An 18,998-nucleotide genomic window follows, 5' to 3' on the forward strand; every position below is an offset into this window, starting at 1 on the left:
GCCTGTCTGTCAGTCCAACTCAGGTTTCCTGACCACTCCCCTTCTCTGCCCCCAGGCTGAGTGAACAACTCCCCATATTTCCCATGACTCCCTTTGTATGTTTCTATCAATCACTCAATCATAGCTCTGAAACCTCCTGTGGCCAGTAACAATATCTGAAATATCTTATCATCTCCAGTGCTTTTTATATACTGCCTACTACATAAAATGTCCCAATAAATGTTGACAGATTAAATATAAAAGCAGTAATATCTTTTATTTAAAAAGTTCATCTTAGAAGAAAATTCAAAAGGGATACAATAAACTTTTCCATATCCCAAAAACTTGTGCCCAAGACAAAAAGAGGGAAGAATTTAAGTTTAGGGGTACATATGCAGGTTTGTTACACAGGTAAACTTTTGTGTCATGGGGATTTATTATACAGATTATTTCATCACCCAGGTATTAAGCCTAGTACCCATTAGTTATTTTTCCTGTTCCTCTCCCTCCTCCCACCCTCCACCCTTTGATAGGCCCCAGTACATGTTGTTCCAAGAGGGAAAAATTTAAAAAACATATGCAGTTAAATAACCATAATGAATAGTTTTCCTAGAAAAAAAAATATTGCCTTTTAAAAAAAATCAAATATGTACTACTTTAAAGGTTGCAACCATCTCATATTGAAAATTAAAGATGTTCCTTCCTAAAATTTTACATTAATCAATTAAATGTTTATGTTAGAAAATTTAACATTAATAGAATAAAAACTGTTTTAGAAACATCACCAAGAACACTGTTGTGGCACATGTTTGCAAATATTGCAATTCCTGCAACATCATATGTATTGAAAAGTCTGGAAAGCCCATGTGGCTGAGAGTTAAATTTATATACTGAAGTAAAACCTGGGAATATTCATCATGCCAATTATAGTTCAATTATTTTATCAGACAGAACTCTGAGAGCAAATTAAAATTTTAAAATTTTACCTATTCCATAGACTGAATTTTTCTAGGTACTATTTTAATACAAATTATTATTATAGCAAAATTCTGAACACTTTTTGGTTGTTAGTATATTTTAAAAGTATTAATATTTCTTTTTACCTCTTAAATATAAAGAAAGCTTCAATTCAGCCTTCTATTCATCCAGATACATTGCATGTATATGTGTTAAAAAAACGACTAGGCAATTAGATTTACTTATCTTACTTTATTCATAAATAAGAATTTTCCTAAGTGCAGTGAGGGGTAGGAGACATGGAAACCTTTCTCATACTTATAGGTGATATTAAACTGAAATATATAACTGCCTTTTGGGAACAGTATTTTTTCTGTTTTCTATGAATTACCCATAAGCATAGCAAAACCAAGATAAATTTAAATTTAATATTGTTAAAGAGCACTGTTCAAGATAAACTTTCATGTATATCACAGTATAGCATTATACAATGATTTTACGTAAAAATATTTAGAAGCACAGTGATGATTTTAAGAAGCCATAAAACATTTTAATGAAATATAAGAAAGTCATGAATATTTATGTGGATATGTATGTTGCAAATTTAAGGTAAATCAACATAGGATAAACACAGAAGATTACATACAAACCCTACATATTTTATTTCTGGTGAAACATATAAACACTTTCCTACTATAGTACAAAATCAATTAGTTCCTCTACCAGCACTAAAGACTTGTCATCTAAATATATTCATTTTAGGGGAGAAAAAAATGCTTCACATTTTTCTAAAATAAAGACTGCAATAAATTAGTGCTTTAAAAAATATATATATATAGGATATAGATCCTAAGAAAATAAAACTAAAGTATAAAAAATGAATAGCATTTCTTTTCCTGCCATCATATCCTTTCTTATCTCATTCCTACATAGAATGAATGATAAGCTAAATTATTTAGACATGTATGGTGACTGAAAGCAATGTCTTCAAGGAAACAGCTTCTTGTTTAGCCTCTTACTCTACCATACTTAGAGTAAAAATCAAAGGATATTTTAGAAATATCTTGTAACTATTGTTGTAGCAATAATCTGTCTTGTTAGAACAACACAATAAAAATGACCTAGAGAATTCCATGAACAATGATACTTGGATTACAAGAGAGCTAAAAATCAGAGGCTATTCCTGTGTGCAAACTATTTTTACCAGTCTAAATACTATATGGTTTACCACTGAACACCCAAGTTTGACTGAAGTGAACATTTGCTACTATCAGTAAAAAACTCCCTCTCTTACAGGAATGGCAGAAATATAGACATTTAGTCATCAAAAATGGCACAATGTACATCACACAAATGATTATATTATGGTTCATAAGGAAAACAGCCACAATTTTGATCAGAGAAATGTTAATACATATGAAGCCTTAAAACAGCAACATGGCGGGGAAGGAGAGGGAGGCGGGAACCTAATGCATTTGAATTAAAGGAAACAGGCAATATTTGGTCGATGTAAACAATGCTATTTAACGAGTGCTTTATCTACTTTACTGAAATACGGAAATACTTATGTACACGATTTAAATGTGCACAAGACTTGGGCTTTTTTCTTCTAGACTATGTACATCATTCAGCACACAATTCAAAAAGTTCTGGTGTATTCAACACACTCCCAGTAAGATTATGTTACACTGAAACATATAATATTAAACTTTCAAGAGACTGCTTTTGATGCTAAGGAGTAATCTATTTTTACAAGAATGCTCAATGGTGGTGATTTCTAGAATATCTTTTTCAATATCACCAAAAATAAGATAAAATTTATTTTAAAATTATGATTTAGAGGTAGAGCTGAAATTATTTATTTAAATTATAGGAAAGAAAGACATAAAATCATTGTGAGAGAATAATGGTGAAAAACATTCTTGCCTAAGAGTCTCCATCTTCTTTGGCTATAGTTGTTGTTTCAAGTTGAAACAGCATCACTAGTATTGCTGCCTTCGAACATTTTGTTTCTGGAAAAAAGCCTTTCCAAATTCATATGTACTGATCATAATGGCACAAGCAGGAGCAATTTTAATTAAGCGAGGAATTAGGCCTGAGAAAAGAATAGGAATAATCAAAACAAATATTTTTTTCTTACCTTATTTTTAAAAATATTATTTTTTGGCTTTATTCTGATAATTATCAAATTAAATGAAGTAATATGTTCAAATCCATAAATTGGTAGAAAAGACTGCTCACTTCCAACATCCTCACTTCAATCCATATTACATTATAGAGAAATTTTTATCTTATTGATAGTAAATCTTTTATTTAACATTTATTTTAACTTATAATAAAGATATTTAGGAGAAAATAAATGTAGTATGTTACCTATAACTTCCTCCTATAAGTTAATTTTAGAAGGTAATATTTTAAAAGTAATCATTCTATTCAATGATTCGGTAAAGCAAGTATTTTTACCTGAAAATAATCCGGAAAATCCATTTTTAGCAACAATGTTCTTCATTATAATCCAGGTTGACATATGCAAAGGCATAGAAACTAAATGTTAAAATAAAGAAATAATGCTATTATAAATAACAATTTAATAATTCCTACTACAGATAACATAGTGTCCATGGCCCTTGCGGATATATCATTTCTTTACCATAAGAAGAGGTTTGTTTACCTAAAAAGCTACTTTAAGTTTTATTTTTAATAGTTAGATTCATTAAAAATAATAAACAGAAAAAGGCTGTATGTTTAAAGATGTATAGGACTGGATGCAATTAAGGAGGAATGTACTGAAGGTTTCTCCTGACTTGATAATGCTTGTTTCTTAAACTTGATGGTAGTTATTTTTTAAACTTTTTCTAGGTCTTAAAAATTTTTCATAATGAAATTTTTAAAAGACAGCTACTTGGGAGGCTGAGGTGGGAAGATCGATCTCTTGAGCTTAAGAGTTCAAGACCAGCCTGGTCTTGAACTCTTAAGTGAGACCCCTATCTCTTAAAAAGTGTATAGAAACCTTCATGGGGTATCCAATGCCAAAGAAAAGTCCTCACAACCATTTTTTCATTCACATTTTATTGTAAATAGTTTTAAAACTTTTTTTTTCTAAAAGGAGTTTCTGAGGAAAACAGCTCATTCTCCCTAGCAGTGTCCTGAGTTATTACTACCTTTCTGAATGGATACGCTATTCTTGAAATAAATTAGACCAGTGCTGTCTCCTTCAAAGGGTTTATTTTAGCTAATAATAACATCTCGCTTATTTGCAACCACTCAAATATCTGGAAGAAAATGAATAAAAACCTAATTTTTTAAAAACTCAGCAAAAGTAGATGTCACTGAAGTATAAACATAAAGCTTATGAATATAATGTTTATAAACAAAATTTGTTTATTTTCGTTTACACACTATTCTAAAAAGCTGCCTTGGCCCACAGACTACTAGATGCAATAAGATTAAAAAAAAGAATTCTAAGAACCAGGCACACTACCATGTAAACAACATGACAGCTAACAGGATGAAGATTTCAATGTCTTGTTTTGAGACCAGCTGAATGAAGGGCAAACAATCCTATACTGCCCTCTCTAGCTTTTTAGAGTGGCTACTCTACAAAAATCAATGTTTACATAGAAGACAACCCTGAATCATTAAACAAGATTAAAGTATGTACCACTAAAGAAGCCTGGGAGAGAAAAGTTAAAGATAAAATGGTATCTTTCAAAAATGACTTTCTAGAATTTTGCCACTTAATGGAGTGTGATTATCTCCAAATTTCATTTATATAAAATATCAGAATCTCTGACTATGAATAAATGAAGACTAAGATAAATGAAGCCTTATGATTTAAGAAGCTGTACTAGCAATAGCATAAGCATAAACATACTAACTACAGCAGCTCAACACTGATTACAAAATATGAATGAAATTTAACTTTCTAAGGAAAGTCAATGACAAGAACTAAGTTGGCAATTTTTACTTCATGTTTAAATTATTTCATTTAAATTTTAAAAACAGGTCAAAGAATGGTGATCAAGCAGCAGGTGTTTCTAATCTTGTAGAACTCATGCCCCAAACTAGTTTCTATTTTAACAGGAAGGTGAAATTAAGAGAATGATAAAAAGAGTATCAACTGAAGGTAAGCCAAGTTCTAGTGGAACCTCAGAAGTGTCTCCTGCCTAACTTTTCAACATTAAAGAGCTACTCCTACAGGTAATAAGCAAATTCTTACATTGTAAAGAAACACTTTTATTATTAAATACTTCAAGCACAGAGAAAATAAATGCTCATTTACTGAATATCCAAATTTATTATATCATAATACCTCTATTTTTCAGATCCAGTTAAAGCCCTCTATATATTCCTCCCCAATTTTATTTTTCCTCCTTCTCAAAGGTAATCATTCTCATCTTTCTTTTTTCATCTTTCTCATGCATTTGTTTAATGTTTACCTCTAAACATATCCAGATGTATACTCACTCTTCTTTGTATACATCTGGAATGTACAGAACAATGTATACTCTTCTTTGTCCTCCTTTTAAACTTTATATAAATGATATCACACTGCACACTTACTTCTGCAATGTGCTTTCAGAATTATCTAGGTTGGTAAGTGTAGCTATATTTTATTCATTTTAATTGCTGCATGGTATTGCATTATATGGATTATAATGATTTATCCATTTTCCTGTAAAGGGACATTTAGGTGATTTCTAACTTTTTGCTGTTTTTAACAATCTTGCCATGGATAGCCTGGTACATGTGCAAAAGTTTCCCTAGGGCACATATCTAGGAGTAGAACTGATAACTCAGAATGGACTCCTTGCTACTGCCAGATTGTTTTCCAAAGTAGCTGTTCCAAAATAATACTCTTACCATCATGGCATAAGGTTCCCAGTGAGCTACATCCTCCCCAACAGTGTAATTTATATAAAATGTTCTCTCACTGCTGTTCCTTGGTATTACTAAAATTGAACATTTTTAATAAGTTTGTTTGGCAAGTATAACCATTTTGTGATACTTTTATTTCTATTTTAAAATAGAAATATAATATAGAAATATTGAAATACGGAAAAATATTGCCTTAAATATTAAAACCAACGTACTATTTATTAAATCTATTAAATACTTAAATTTTAAAATGTTTAAAAATTAAATATTGCTTGAGTAGTGTTTTTTTTTTTCTATAGTTCAATTGTCCAGTTAAGAATAGTGTTTCAAAAATATTAAATGTGTTCAGAGAAAAAGAAGTTTAACCTCTGGAAAACAAGTAAATTTGGGCCAGGTTTAAAAAGCTAAAACCAGAGATTAAATGTTTAAAAATTAATAATATATGACACACTCATAAATTAGGTAAAAGTTATTTCTGTTATAGGATATGGCATTTACTACATGCTAACGTGCTTCTGAATGCAGCCTCTCTTCCAGTAGATTATGAGCTCTTTGAGGATTTGGGTAATTGTCTCATTTATCTGTATATACCAGCATGGTGCCTGACACAGTATAGGTACTCAGTAATTGACTAATGAATGAAGAACAGAAGAAGTGGTCGAAGTAGGCTGACAGATCATATACTTGCATGGAACTATCATTCTATAGTATGACAGATGCAACACTTCATATTTTCTTTTTTGCTTAGAGAGAAGGGATTTGGTATAGCTGAGCTGTGGAACAAAGGAAGTCACTTCTAAATGGAGCTGAGTTACTTCTTGGATAAATAATGTAAACCAAAATAGTAAGTATGGGCTGATTATCACTCAAATTACAAGTGCAATTTCAACTGAAATATATCTTAGTAAACCTTTAAGTAACTGGTTCATAGCTGAAGTAGGCTAACAGATTAAAATTTACCAATGATAATCATGGAAAATTAAAACCCAATTCTTATTTAAGATTTTTCCTTTTAGGTTTAAATGAGGAAACATTAATTAGAAAAAACCAGTGATAGGTAAGAGTTAAATCTAATAAAGAAAGATGGCTCCCTGGTGCCAGTCTCAATGAAGATATATATCACCATCACTTAGGGATCATCTTCAAAATATACAAGCTAGAGTTCCACCTCAGATTCATTAAATGAGAGTTTACTGAGGGTGATGTCCAGCTGTAGGTATATTGAATAAGCACCTCAGGTGACTCCAATGATTAGTTACCAACGTAAGTGGCTCCCAAACTTTAGTGTGCATTAGAATCTACCTGTACAGATTCCCATCTTTTCCCTTATCAACCACCATGACCACCACTACCTCAATGCCACAGTCATTAATCATTTATGCTAAATTACACCAAAAAGAAATTGGTGAAATCCTACTATGTTAAATATTATACTTAAGAGGGGAAATAGAAATTCTGATGAGAAGAAAAGAAGAACGAAACAAAATAATTTTGAACTGTCAAAGGACAGATAGGGCTTAGGTTTCTAGAAGGCTCATGCCTAAAACAGGGAAGTGGGAGAACCCTAATATAATAAAATTTTGATTACCTCCCAGGTTTTCATTAGCTTCTAATATAAGAGGAGAATAGGTATTTGATAGGTCAAAGACAAGGATGTCACCAACATCCATCAGATTCATTTGTAGAGGTTTGTAACCAGCTTCTTTTAACATTATACCTATTTTACTTTTTATGCAAACTATTATAATCATGGGTAGAAGAATTTTTATTTACATTATAATAGTCTTATCACAAGACTTACATAATTTTGTAATAGATAATTTCCCATTGGTTTGCTACACTTTCTAAAGGGAATAAATGATGACAGAGGGATCCTAGTAGAAGCAAATAGGAGTATACGTTTGTTCTAGAAGAAATTACAGGTTATGAAGAAATAAAAATAGATGGGATAATGGGTAGAAAAAATTACAAGAAAGCTTAAAAACAAAATGTGTGTGTGTGTGTGTGTGTGTGTGTATATATATATATATATACATATATATAATCAAAAAATAAGAGAAAAAAGGTTTCCAGTAATTTCCTATCCTTTATCCTGATTTGTCTAAATTTATTTTATTGGTTTACTTGAAAGAAGACTTAAAAGGACAATAAAAATAATAATTTGAAATAGATCTGAAAACAAACTTTAGGAAAAAACATCATAAAACAACTTAGCTTTTAAATGACAAAGATTATTTCTTCTTTATCGCAGGTATCAGACTTAACTGATGGCATTCAAGAAACATTAGACTTTACATTTTCTTAAATTTTTTGTTTTTGTTTAGTTTTTCTGGGTATTCCATTCTAACAGTATATTACTTTCAGTAAAATACACAAAGAATAATGCAGAAGAAAAAATCTTGTTTTCCTTATTTTAGATATCCCTACAATATCTGTAAGGAAAAACAAAAATGGCATCTTAAAAATATTTTAAATTAATTAAACTTACTTTTATGACTTTCATATGTCCAAAGTTGTGTCTGCTTTTGTGTTTTTACTACATCAAATGGTAAAGTTGCAACAGCAGCAAACTATCAGAAAGTAAAATTGATTAATTTCAATCAACCTGTTAATTTTTCCTAAAATATTTTTACATTCTTCTTATTAGTATATTATTTAAGGATAATGAAAACAATAACCGAACTTTAAAATGAAATAATATATATATTTTTAAGTTTTCATTAAAGCAAATAGATATGTATTTCTCACTATACTCAAAAGTAAAAAGCCTCAGAAAAATTCCCTTACTTTCCTGAGGTCACACAGCTACTAGTTGCAGAGCCACAATTCCAACCAAGCCTCTCTGACTCCACTACCAGCATTCACAATTTCTCACGCTCCTTTGTGTTCTATTATTCCTTTACATCACAAGAAGATACAACACATATGTCAAAGCAGAAATTCTCAAGTATCTAGTGAGCATTTAAAAATTTCCAGCAAACGCTTTTAAAATAGAATAAAAAATTAAATTTGAATAAAGAAAATGAATTTTGAACTTTTAACTCTATAAGCCTTTTAAAATAGTTATGTAAATGTTTACATATTAAAATATACTTACAATGGTTCACAAATCACATTTTTTCCTATTAATGATAAAAGCTGGATGCAAATCACATTTTAAATAACTTTTCTCAAAATAATTTACATTTTTTCCACAATGCCTTAATTAAGGGAGTTTTTTTAAAATAATTTAATTCTTTTAGATATGTTGTTGCAATATTTGATACAACAGCCATGCAAGGTTAAAACTGGTATGCATTTTTGCTTCCCAACTCACATTTGGCCAATATGGTCATAAAATGTCCCTCAAAATCACTTATATTTTATTTCACCCCAACAATTTGTTGATGTACGTTCTTGAAATCAGCTTCAAAGATTTCAGGTAAGGTAAAATCAAGGACTGTTTCTCCATCTTCATTATCTATCATGTAGTAGCTACAATGTTATGTAAGCCATTTTTGAAACTCTTTCTAAAATGAGGTGGTTTAGGCTGTTCTGTTTTCTGACAGAAAGCCTGGACACTTACATTCAGGTGTTTTTTCTGTTGCAGACACAAACCTTTATTTGAAAGCTGTCAAAATGCAGCAATTTTCTAGATCATTTAAAAAATCATTTAAAAAAATAAATTTTCTAGGTTAAATAGAAATAGTACAATAGAGGACTTTCCTTCATATTTCTGCAAAACTGGTAAATATCCTAAAGCCATTATTCAACAATACTAATTGGTTTTTTTGTTCAATAGACTTATAATCCACTAGGATTAATTTGAAAGATCTTAGACCTGGGAATATTTATATCTAAGTTTTAAAGTCAACTGCTGTGGCTTCCTTGGCCTAGATTTTCTGAGATATTATTACAATATTTTTCTGCAAGTCTGCATCACTTCACTCTGCTCCTTCGCTATTGTTTTTATGTGGTTCCAGTGTGTTATTGTCTCACTACAAGTTATTACAGATTCATTTTTGGAAGTATGTGGGTATAAAAAAAACTGCCAATGTCATGGTGATATAAATCTGCATAATGAAAGTCTACTACAGGACTTTGATATCATTCTACAGGAAGGTGTGGAAAAAGATAAACTCCCTATTACCCAAAAATGGTAACAAGATTATTTCCTTCCGACTGTAATTTTTGTTCAAATTATTTTAAAAAGTACTTTAGTAGGACAAAATGTTTCCAAAGAAACAGAAATCAGCAGCAGAGGCTAGAAGTGCTTAATGCATATGAGATGACATTGCATGAAATATTACCTAATCAGAGCATTTATTGAATTAATGTATTACAAAATGCTCTAAATAATAAAGCTCTAAAATATTATAACTGTAATGATCTAACAAATCCAAAAGTTTCTCAGAAAAATATGTTTTTGTAACATAAAAACAAATACAGTATATTTAAATTATTTTATTTGCTAATAATTTGTTTCCTTAAAATAGATGGAAAATACTTAGACAAATTTTCAAGCAGTGCAGCCAAAGTGGATCTCAATATACATGAGATGCTATATTTTGTTTTGTTTTAATACAACAATTATTCTTCTGGAATATTAACAACAAAAGAATAAACTTACAGAACCAGACAATGCCCCTGAAGTAAAGTTGATCATAAATGTTGGCTCATATAAACCAGATTTCTCACATAACCACTTCTTTAAAATTTCATAGTTATACCAGTACATTGCTATAAAAACAGAGAATGAAATGAACACATATTTAGAAATAAAATGTGGACTTTAATAAAAGAGTTATGAGGTTATATATTCAGGGGATAGACAAATTCTAACCTTGACATACCTTGCTTTCTACTTAGACACCCACTAGGGTGGGATTTCTTTTTTTAATGCAAAATTCTCAGTAATATTCTAGTAGTCCTATAAACAAAAAAAACTATGCATCAATAAAGTAGGACTATAATTCCAAAACCTGACAAGGACAACGGGACAAAGGAAAAAAGTAAAGGCCAATCTATTGATGATCATAGGTACAGACTTCCTAAAAATAATAATAAAAAACAAACTGAAGTCAGAAATATTTCATAAAACATCATGTACTATGATTAAGTTGGGTTACCCCAGAAATGCAAAGGTATATAATACAAATCTTTAAATGTCATATTACCATGTTAACAAAACCATGGGATCATGTAATGATAATGAAAAAGCATCTGATAAAACGCAACACTCCTTCATTTAAAAGAAACAAATTTCTTGGAAACCTAGAAGTAAAAGGAAACTTCTTTAATTTGATAAAGAACATGCATCAAAAACCTATACCAAAAAATAATTATTAATGGTTAAATGAGATCTATTTTCTTTAAAATGGGAAAAATGATGGGGATGTTCATTATTGTCACTATAATTCAAAAATTCACTGGGCAGCAAGTAAGAAAGAAAAGTTATGATTACAAATGATGATATAAAACAGTTCAATTTACATATATTTTTATATATATCCAAACCAAAAAAATAGTAAGACAAAGCAGAATTTATAACAGAATGTTAAAACATAGCTGGATACAAGCTAATAGAAAAAAATCAATTGCAACTGCACAAGCTACAAAGATTTAATTTTAAAAAATTAAAATAGAGCTTTAAAAATAGCTACTAAAAGCTGGGGGGCAGTGGGGGTATACCTATAACTAAATGTCAAAAAAAAAGAGATGAATACAACCTTGATGAAGAAAAACTTGAATCTCTCCTAAAACAACTTCTTAAAGATTTATTATTAACATAAAGAGATGACATTCCTAGGGAAGAAAAATAAGGTGACATCAAGATTTTTCTTAGCCAAGCATGGTGGCACACGGCTTTGGTCCCAGCTACTCAGGAGGTTGATGTGGGAGGATTACTAGAGCCCTGTAGATAGATCAAGGCTACAGTAAGCCGTGACTGTGCCACTGCACTCCAGCCTGGGCAACAGAGTGAGACCCTGACCAAAAAACAAAAGATTTTTCATAGAGCACTAATAATTCAGTTTGGTACTGGCCTGAAGTCAGAAACATTAACCAGCGAAACAGATCCATGCATACATGAAAATGTTATATGACAGAGACGACACTGCAGATCCCTGAAGCAATTATGGTTATTCAATAGATCAGGGGTCCACGACCCCAGGGCTGAGGATTGGTACTGGTCTGTGTCCCATTAGGAACTGGGCTACACAGCAGGAGGTGAGCGGCGGGTGAGTGAGCATTACCGCCTGAGCTCCACCTCCTGTCAGATCAGCAGTAGCAATATATTCTCATAGAACTCTATTGTTAACTGCGCATGTGAGGGATCTGGGTTGCGTGGTCCTTATGAAAATTTAATGCCTGGTGATCTGAGGTGGAATAGTTTCGTTCTGAAACCAATCACACACGCGCTCATGCACACACACACACAGGCACAATTTTTCCAATCATGGAAAAATTGTCTTCCACAAAACCAGTCCCTGGTGCCCAAAAGGTTGGAGATCACTGCAATAGGTGATGTTGGGACAACCAGCTATCCATGTGGGAGAAAAATGAAATTGAAAACCTATTTCAGTCCAAAACCCCAAATCAATTATGAATAAATGAATGCCAATGAAACAGTGCCCAATCTTATTAATAACCAGGGAAATGCAAATTAAAATGAGATACCACTTTAAATTATTAAACAAAAATTAAGACCTTTGACAATAAAAAAGTTGGAAAGGGTGTGAAGCAGCAGAAAATCTCTTACATTGCTGGTAGGTATGTAGATCATACAATCACTTTGGAAAAGAGTTCTATATTACCTAGTAAAATTTGAAATGTATGTATATCTATGAATCAACAAATCCAATACTGGATAAACTTTCAAAGGTACACCAAGAAACTGATTAAAAATTTTCATAGCAGCACTGTCTTACTTGTTTACTCACATATAAACAAGTAAAAATGAAGAAAACAGTTACATATAACACAAGAATGACTCTTAGGAAAATTTTTTAGTAAAAGGGGATTTTCAAAAATAGGTTAAACTAAACAATATAATGTTTGGCAATAATACATATGTGGGAAAATTAATTCTTTTAATCAAATGAATGGCATTCAATATAGTGGTTACCACTGGGGTTGTGACAGTGAAAGAACGTATTTGTGGTTTCATGATTTTTAAAAGATATTTATATTCTTATTGAGAGTTTCTCTCTAGATAAGTATTTCTTTTGGGTCTTAAAAACTTCTATGATCCACAAGGGAAATGCCACTAAAGTAGGCACATTCTGTAAGTTACTGGTAGATTTACACTTCTCACTTTTCATAATTTTCTCCCTTTTCATAACTGAGTAATCAGTACAATTCCCTACTTGATTTGTAATAGTCTTTTACAGGATAATCATTTAATGGGGAGATGTTTATTTTTAATAACTGAAAAAGTAGGAGCCCATATAATTCCAAAGTGGTCTTAAATGGATTCTATCCTTTGATTTGCAGTAGTTTTACTTATCTTACTAATTGCTTAGAATAATATTAAATGACTTATTTAGAATGTTAAAGGTAGTTTGCATTCTCTGAATATGAATACCCACTAATTAATGTAGAAAAGCAAATTAATCACAAGGAAAAAAAAACAAGCTTGAATAAAAACTATTCATTCAATAAAAGCTTGGAAAGATCTGAGAGCCCAACAATGAAAAAGGAGTTTGTGGTCACTATAGAAAATAACTTACCTTTAATGGTAAAGAGTTAAAAATCTAGTGACAGTAATATTTGAATGAGACAAAGCCATGTAAAATTTAGTAGCTACAAATAAGATAAATCCTACCTGAGAAAGGTACATCTCTAAGAACAGTAGGAGCCCAGCCCCTCCAAAGGGAAATCCAACCATCTTCAGATACTTTCTTGCTGACAAATCGATGCAGTTCCACGTAAGAAAACTTCTTGGACTGCATCTTGGTTCTAATCAATTCTAGTGGACTTATCACAGTTACTGCACCAACTAATACAAACAAGTTAAAAAAAAGAAAACAAAAATAAAGCCATGTACTATGCAAACACATATACTGTAAAAATTAATATTCACAGATTTTATATTTTAAACTTTTAGTCTATAATGTCTGAAAACCTTAAAATTAAATGTGTCATGATGTCAACATAATTGCCACAGATTTTTCCCTTGACAAAGTATTTCTTAAAAATCTATTTTCATATACTTTACTTTTTCTGGTTTCAACTCTCTCAAGGGCAGTTCCAGAAATGTTATAATCAACCAGAACTATGAAAACCAAAGCCCATTCCAGTTACTGCCCCAATAAATCCCACTCCCATTTAGCAGAGTAAACGTTCTTCTGTATAGAGTCAACGTTCCTTATGATAAAACTCTGAATCCCAAAGTTTATAAGGAAAGTGATTCAGGACTTTGGCCTGAATCACGCATGATCCCAGATGACACCTCAGAAGTTCAGGTAAATCAGAACCAACTCTGATGTCACTCTAAAAACTCTGTCCATGATTTGACCAAAATAGGCTGAGCCCATCTCATTCTGATGGTAATCACCATTCCATATGACTTCTGGAGTACCTATACTATATTAACAAATTAATATAAACTATAATGCAAAATATATCATACTAATACTCTATATATTATACAAATTATCTGTGAATGTCACAACTTAAACAGAAGCTCTAAACAGAAATCAAAATGAAAATAAAGATTTATTACTCACATCTGGCTACAATTCCAGCAACAATTGGTATGCAGGTTTCATTTTCTCCTAACTTAGATCTCAGAAGAGCACTTAATTGATCATAGCAGGTAAAATAAATAACTGTGGCAGGAACTGCCATCACTCTGTTAGATCACACAAAAAGATTTGTTCAAAATTATCAAAAGATCCCACATAGTCTTAACTTAAATTCAAATATTATTATATAAGCTAAAAAAGTCTTATATTTTGTGTAAGCTAAAAACTACAATAAATCAGCCTATGAGATCAATTTTTCTTTTAGTTTAAAAATGATTAGTACTTAACTTAGTAGGCAGTAAAAAGATATAAAGTAGGCATTTGCCATCCAAAAGTTTTCATTCCAGTTGTAAAGACAGTTACAATAAATAGCATTAAGTAAGCGCTAGCATGGTGGCACATGCCTGTAATCCCAGCTACTCAGGTAGCTGAGGAACAAGAATCACTTGAACCTGGCAGGCAGAGGTTGCAATGAGCCGAGATCGTGCCACTGCACTCCAGCCTATTTAGGGACAGAGCAAGACTGTCTCTAAATAAATAAATAAATAAAATAAAAATAAAACAAATAGGAAAAGACAAATTAAGACAGACACTTCATCTCCATCTCTGTTTCTGGTCTCCCAGATCTTCTTTCTCATTCATAATTACCATAACATCAGAATCAGCGAAATAAAAAGTACGTGAGAAATTGTAAAACATTTTTGTACTGTGGACCATATATCACTCCTGCTTATAACTAGACATAAATTATAATTAACATCATCAGAATTACATACACTAATTTTAAGGGAATTCTAATGACATACTATTTTAAAAGAAATTATTAAAAGGGAATTATTAAATTCAAACACAAAGTTGCAGGTACTGCCATGTCAATAAATATTAGTGCAACAAGAAACTAGTCCATGTTTATGATGTAACTAAAGGACATTCACAGACTATAAATTGGAATGCCTAATGTTATATGGTGGACTTTGCTGCTGAGAATTTAGGAGCAGGACTGACTGGTGGGGTATCGGATCTGCCACTAACTTTAAACCTTAAACATTGTTTAAAATAAATGCCTCAAATTGACTAATTTCCTCCATTAAAAGTATAAAGTTCTTGGGAATAAATGAGACAGCAAAAGCCAAGTTATTATTTTACATTTTTACATTCAATATTAACAGTTTATCATATTAATTCATGTAATCGCCAGGCAGTAGACAATTAGAATTACCTGGAGAAAGGAAAGTATACATTTTGCAATATATCATACAGCTTTAGTAAAATGAACAAATAAACACCAAAGTCTTTATTTCTGAACATGAAAAAAATTACCATATGCTTGTGTAGCAAAGACAACACAGCAGGCTTGGTTGCTCAAACCTTATATAACTTCAGGAGGGCCTATGTGCATGCCTGACCTCTGGACAACTCGTGAGAATATATCCCCAGGAGTATTCCCCATTAGAAGGTTTTTTGTATGTCTGAAGCACTAAACCAACTTGTCCAGGTTGATCTGTACACTGCGATTTATAGTACACTTCTTTCCTTCTGTGGGTTTGAAGTTTTGCTCATCACAACTGGCCTAAAAGACAGAATGTATCCATATAACCCATGCTCAATAAAAGCCCTACACTCAAAACTCAAATGGGTTTCCCAAGGCAGAAGCACTTTGTATACTTCACAGCTCACTGATAGAAGGATAAGCACATCCTGTGCAATGCCATAAGGGAGGACTTTGGAAGCCTATTTCTGGACAACTCCTGATGTGCCTTTTTCCCTTACCGATTCTGTTTTCTATCCTTTTGCTGTAATAAACCGTATCTGTGAATGTAACCTCTTCAGGTCCTGCAAGTCCTTCTAGTACATCATCAAACATGTGGGTGGCTGTGAGGCTTAAAAAACAATACCTCAGAAAATGAAAGCATTCTAATATTAAAAATGCAAGACTTTGTCCAACCATGCTGATTATAGGATAAAATAACAATCATTATTTAGTAGAAAAAACATTAAATTTCAACTTACAGGGTAGGAGGAAGGCCACTCCATAGAGATTTAATGCCCTCATTTCGAATGATTTTAAAAAATGCATCCTAAAGTTATAATAGAAAAAAAGTAATCAAAATATATCTTTAAACCTTTTATACAAAAATTTATACTGATGATTGGTAATTTCATTCTTTCAGGTATTTATATCTAAAAAAATAAGCTTTTTGGATTTATGTATGTCCATTCTTTTTAAAAAGGGAATTTTAACACAATTAAAATGAAGCATTTCTGGATGATACTAACTTCTTACAGAATGAAGTCTATATTACTCAGCTCTAGATTGTTCTACTAAGAGCTTAGAAAAAAAGCTTTAGAAAAGATTATTATAAGAAAGGAAGTAGAGCAAAAGCAGAGAACTGGTTAAACTTGCTTAAGTATGAAATTAGAGAAAATATTAAAATGTGCTATGTGAAATCTTTGGAGAGGAACCAAAAGTAGGCAGAGCTGAAGAGAAGTCTTCTATTAACAGACAGACTCTTACAATTTGATAACAAAAAGATAAAGTAATTAAAAATTGGCTAAGGATTTGAATATATATTTCTCCAAAGAATACATACAAATGGCCAATAAGCACACGAAAAACTGTTTGGCTGCATGCAGTGGCTCAGGCCTGTAATCCCAGCACTTTGGAAGGCAGGAGACCCCTTGAGCCCAGGAGTTCGACATCAGCCTGGGCAATATAGTTAGAACTTATCTCTACAAAAAGCTAAAAAATTTGCTGGGCATGGTGACGCACTCCTGTGGTCCCAGCTACTTGGGAGTCTGAGGTGGGAGGACTGCTTCAGCCCAGCAGGGAGAGGCTGCACTGAGCTGAGATCACACCACTGCACTCCAGGCCTGGGCAACAGAGTGAGACCCTGTCTCAAAAAAAAAAAAGAAAAGAAAAATAGAAAAAGGAAAAATGTTCATCATTGATTATTATGAAAATGCAAAGCAAAACTACAAATGAGATGTGACTTCATACCTACTAAATAAGCTAAAATTATAGAGACAGACAATAATAAATTCTGGTGAAAATGTGAAGAAATTGGAACCCTTAGATACTACTGGTGAGAATACAGAATGGTGTAGCTACTTTAGAAAATAGCCTAGCAGTTTCTCAGAAGGTTAAACATAGTTATCACATGACTCAGTAATTTCAACTCCAGTTACATTCTGAGGGAAATTAAAACACATATTCACATAAGGTTATATCCAAGAGAAATTAAAACACATGTTCACACAGAAACATGAATGTCCATAGAATTAATTATTCCAAAAAGTAGAAACAACCCAAATGTCTATCAAATGATGAATGAATAAATTAAATGTAATATATTCACATAATATTACTTGGCAATAAAAGAAATAAAATACTGATACATACTACAACATGGATGACTCTTAAAACACTATGCTAAGTAAAAGACATTAGTCACAAAGGACTGCATATTTTCCCAGCTACGGGAACCCTAGTAAGACAGAAAACTTTTAGACAATAACCACTCTGCTCTAGCCAAACACCAAAGTGAAACTTGTGGCACCACCCAGACCCATATCAGCAAAGGCCAAGTAGGTAGCCTAGACTTCCACCAATGTAAGGCTGACAGAAGGTCAATAAGGAACCAAGATTTTTACCCCTACCAGGTCAGCAATAAGGCTCCTTTGTCCCTCTGCTAGGGTGGTGTCACAGGAGGAATAGTGGAGAGTCACTACTTTCACGATCACCCAGCAATGAGACTACCCCACTACACCGTCAGTGGAAACCATATAGAAAGCCAGAATTCCCACACATGCTCAAGAGCAAAAGAGGTCTTCCCTCACACTGTGTGTCAATAGAGGCTGGGTGGGGAACCTGGACTTCTAACGCTACCCGGCAGTAACAAGATGACATCCTTTCTTCCCCATGGAAGCAATGACAGAAAAAGACAGCTAAAATAGAATGTTTTAAGTGAGATTAAAGAGTTTAATGGAATGCTAAAAAATGTTCCAGTAACTTACAAAGGAAGGCAGGAAAGGCAAAACAGAAATAGAAAACACAACAAAGAGAAAATTTTTTTAAAAAGATAGGCTTAAGTCCTACTCTCTAATTGCATTATAATAGTTAAACTAAGTATACTAATTAAAAGGTAAAAACTGACAGAGTGAAATTAAAACATGACTCAATTTTATGCTGTCTAAAAGAAATTCACTTCAATTATAATGTCATAAGCAGGTTGAAAATGGATTGAAAGACTCAACACATTAAAGATGTTATTACCCTCCAAATTAACATACAAGTTGAATGCCATTCCAATAAATACCCTGGCAATATTTTTTTGTAAATATAAACAGGATTATGCTAAGATTTATGTGGAAAGACAAAGGAACTTTGGGAATAGCGAAAACAACTTTGAAAAAAAAATAAATAAATAAGGACCAGATGCTGTGTCTCACGCCGGTATC

At 32.0% G+C, this 18,998-nt stretch overlaps 1 protein-coding gene across 1 annotated transcript in view; it reads right to left on the bottom strand.

The window, feature by feature from the left end:
* Window positions 1-237: 237 nt before the first annotated feature.
* SLC25A40 (solute carrier family 25 member 40) overlaps window positions 238-18,998 on the bottom strand; it is a 42,793-nt gene continuing 24,032 nt past the window's right edge. Inside the window, exons 6-12 of the mRNA NM_018843.4 lie at window positions 16,551-16,618; window positions 14,523-14,647; window positions 13,619-13,792; window positions 10,424-10,533; window positions 8,303-8,384; window positions 3,400-3,480; window positions 238-3,031 (exon numbers count right to left, since the gene is read on the bottom strand). Coding sequence (NP_061331.2) covers window positions 2,919-3,031; window positions 3,400-3,480; window positions 8,303-8,384; window positions 10,424-10,533; window positions 13,619-13,792; window positions 14,523-14,647; window positions 16,551-16,618 — 753 coding nt within the window. The 3' untranslated portion in view covers window positions 238-2,918. The remainder of the gene's footprint in view (window positions 3,032-3,399; window positions 3,481-8,302; window positions 8,385-10,423; window positions 10,534-13,618; window positions 13,793-14,522; window positions 14,648-16,550; window positions 16,619-18,998) is intronic.

This window comes from Homo sapiens, chromosome 7 (assembly GCF_000001405.40).
Source record: "Homo sapiens chromosome 7, GRCh38.p14 Primary Assembly".
Lineage (NCBI taxonomy): Eukaryota > Metazoa > Chordata > Mammalia > Primates > Hominidae > Homo > Homo sapiens.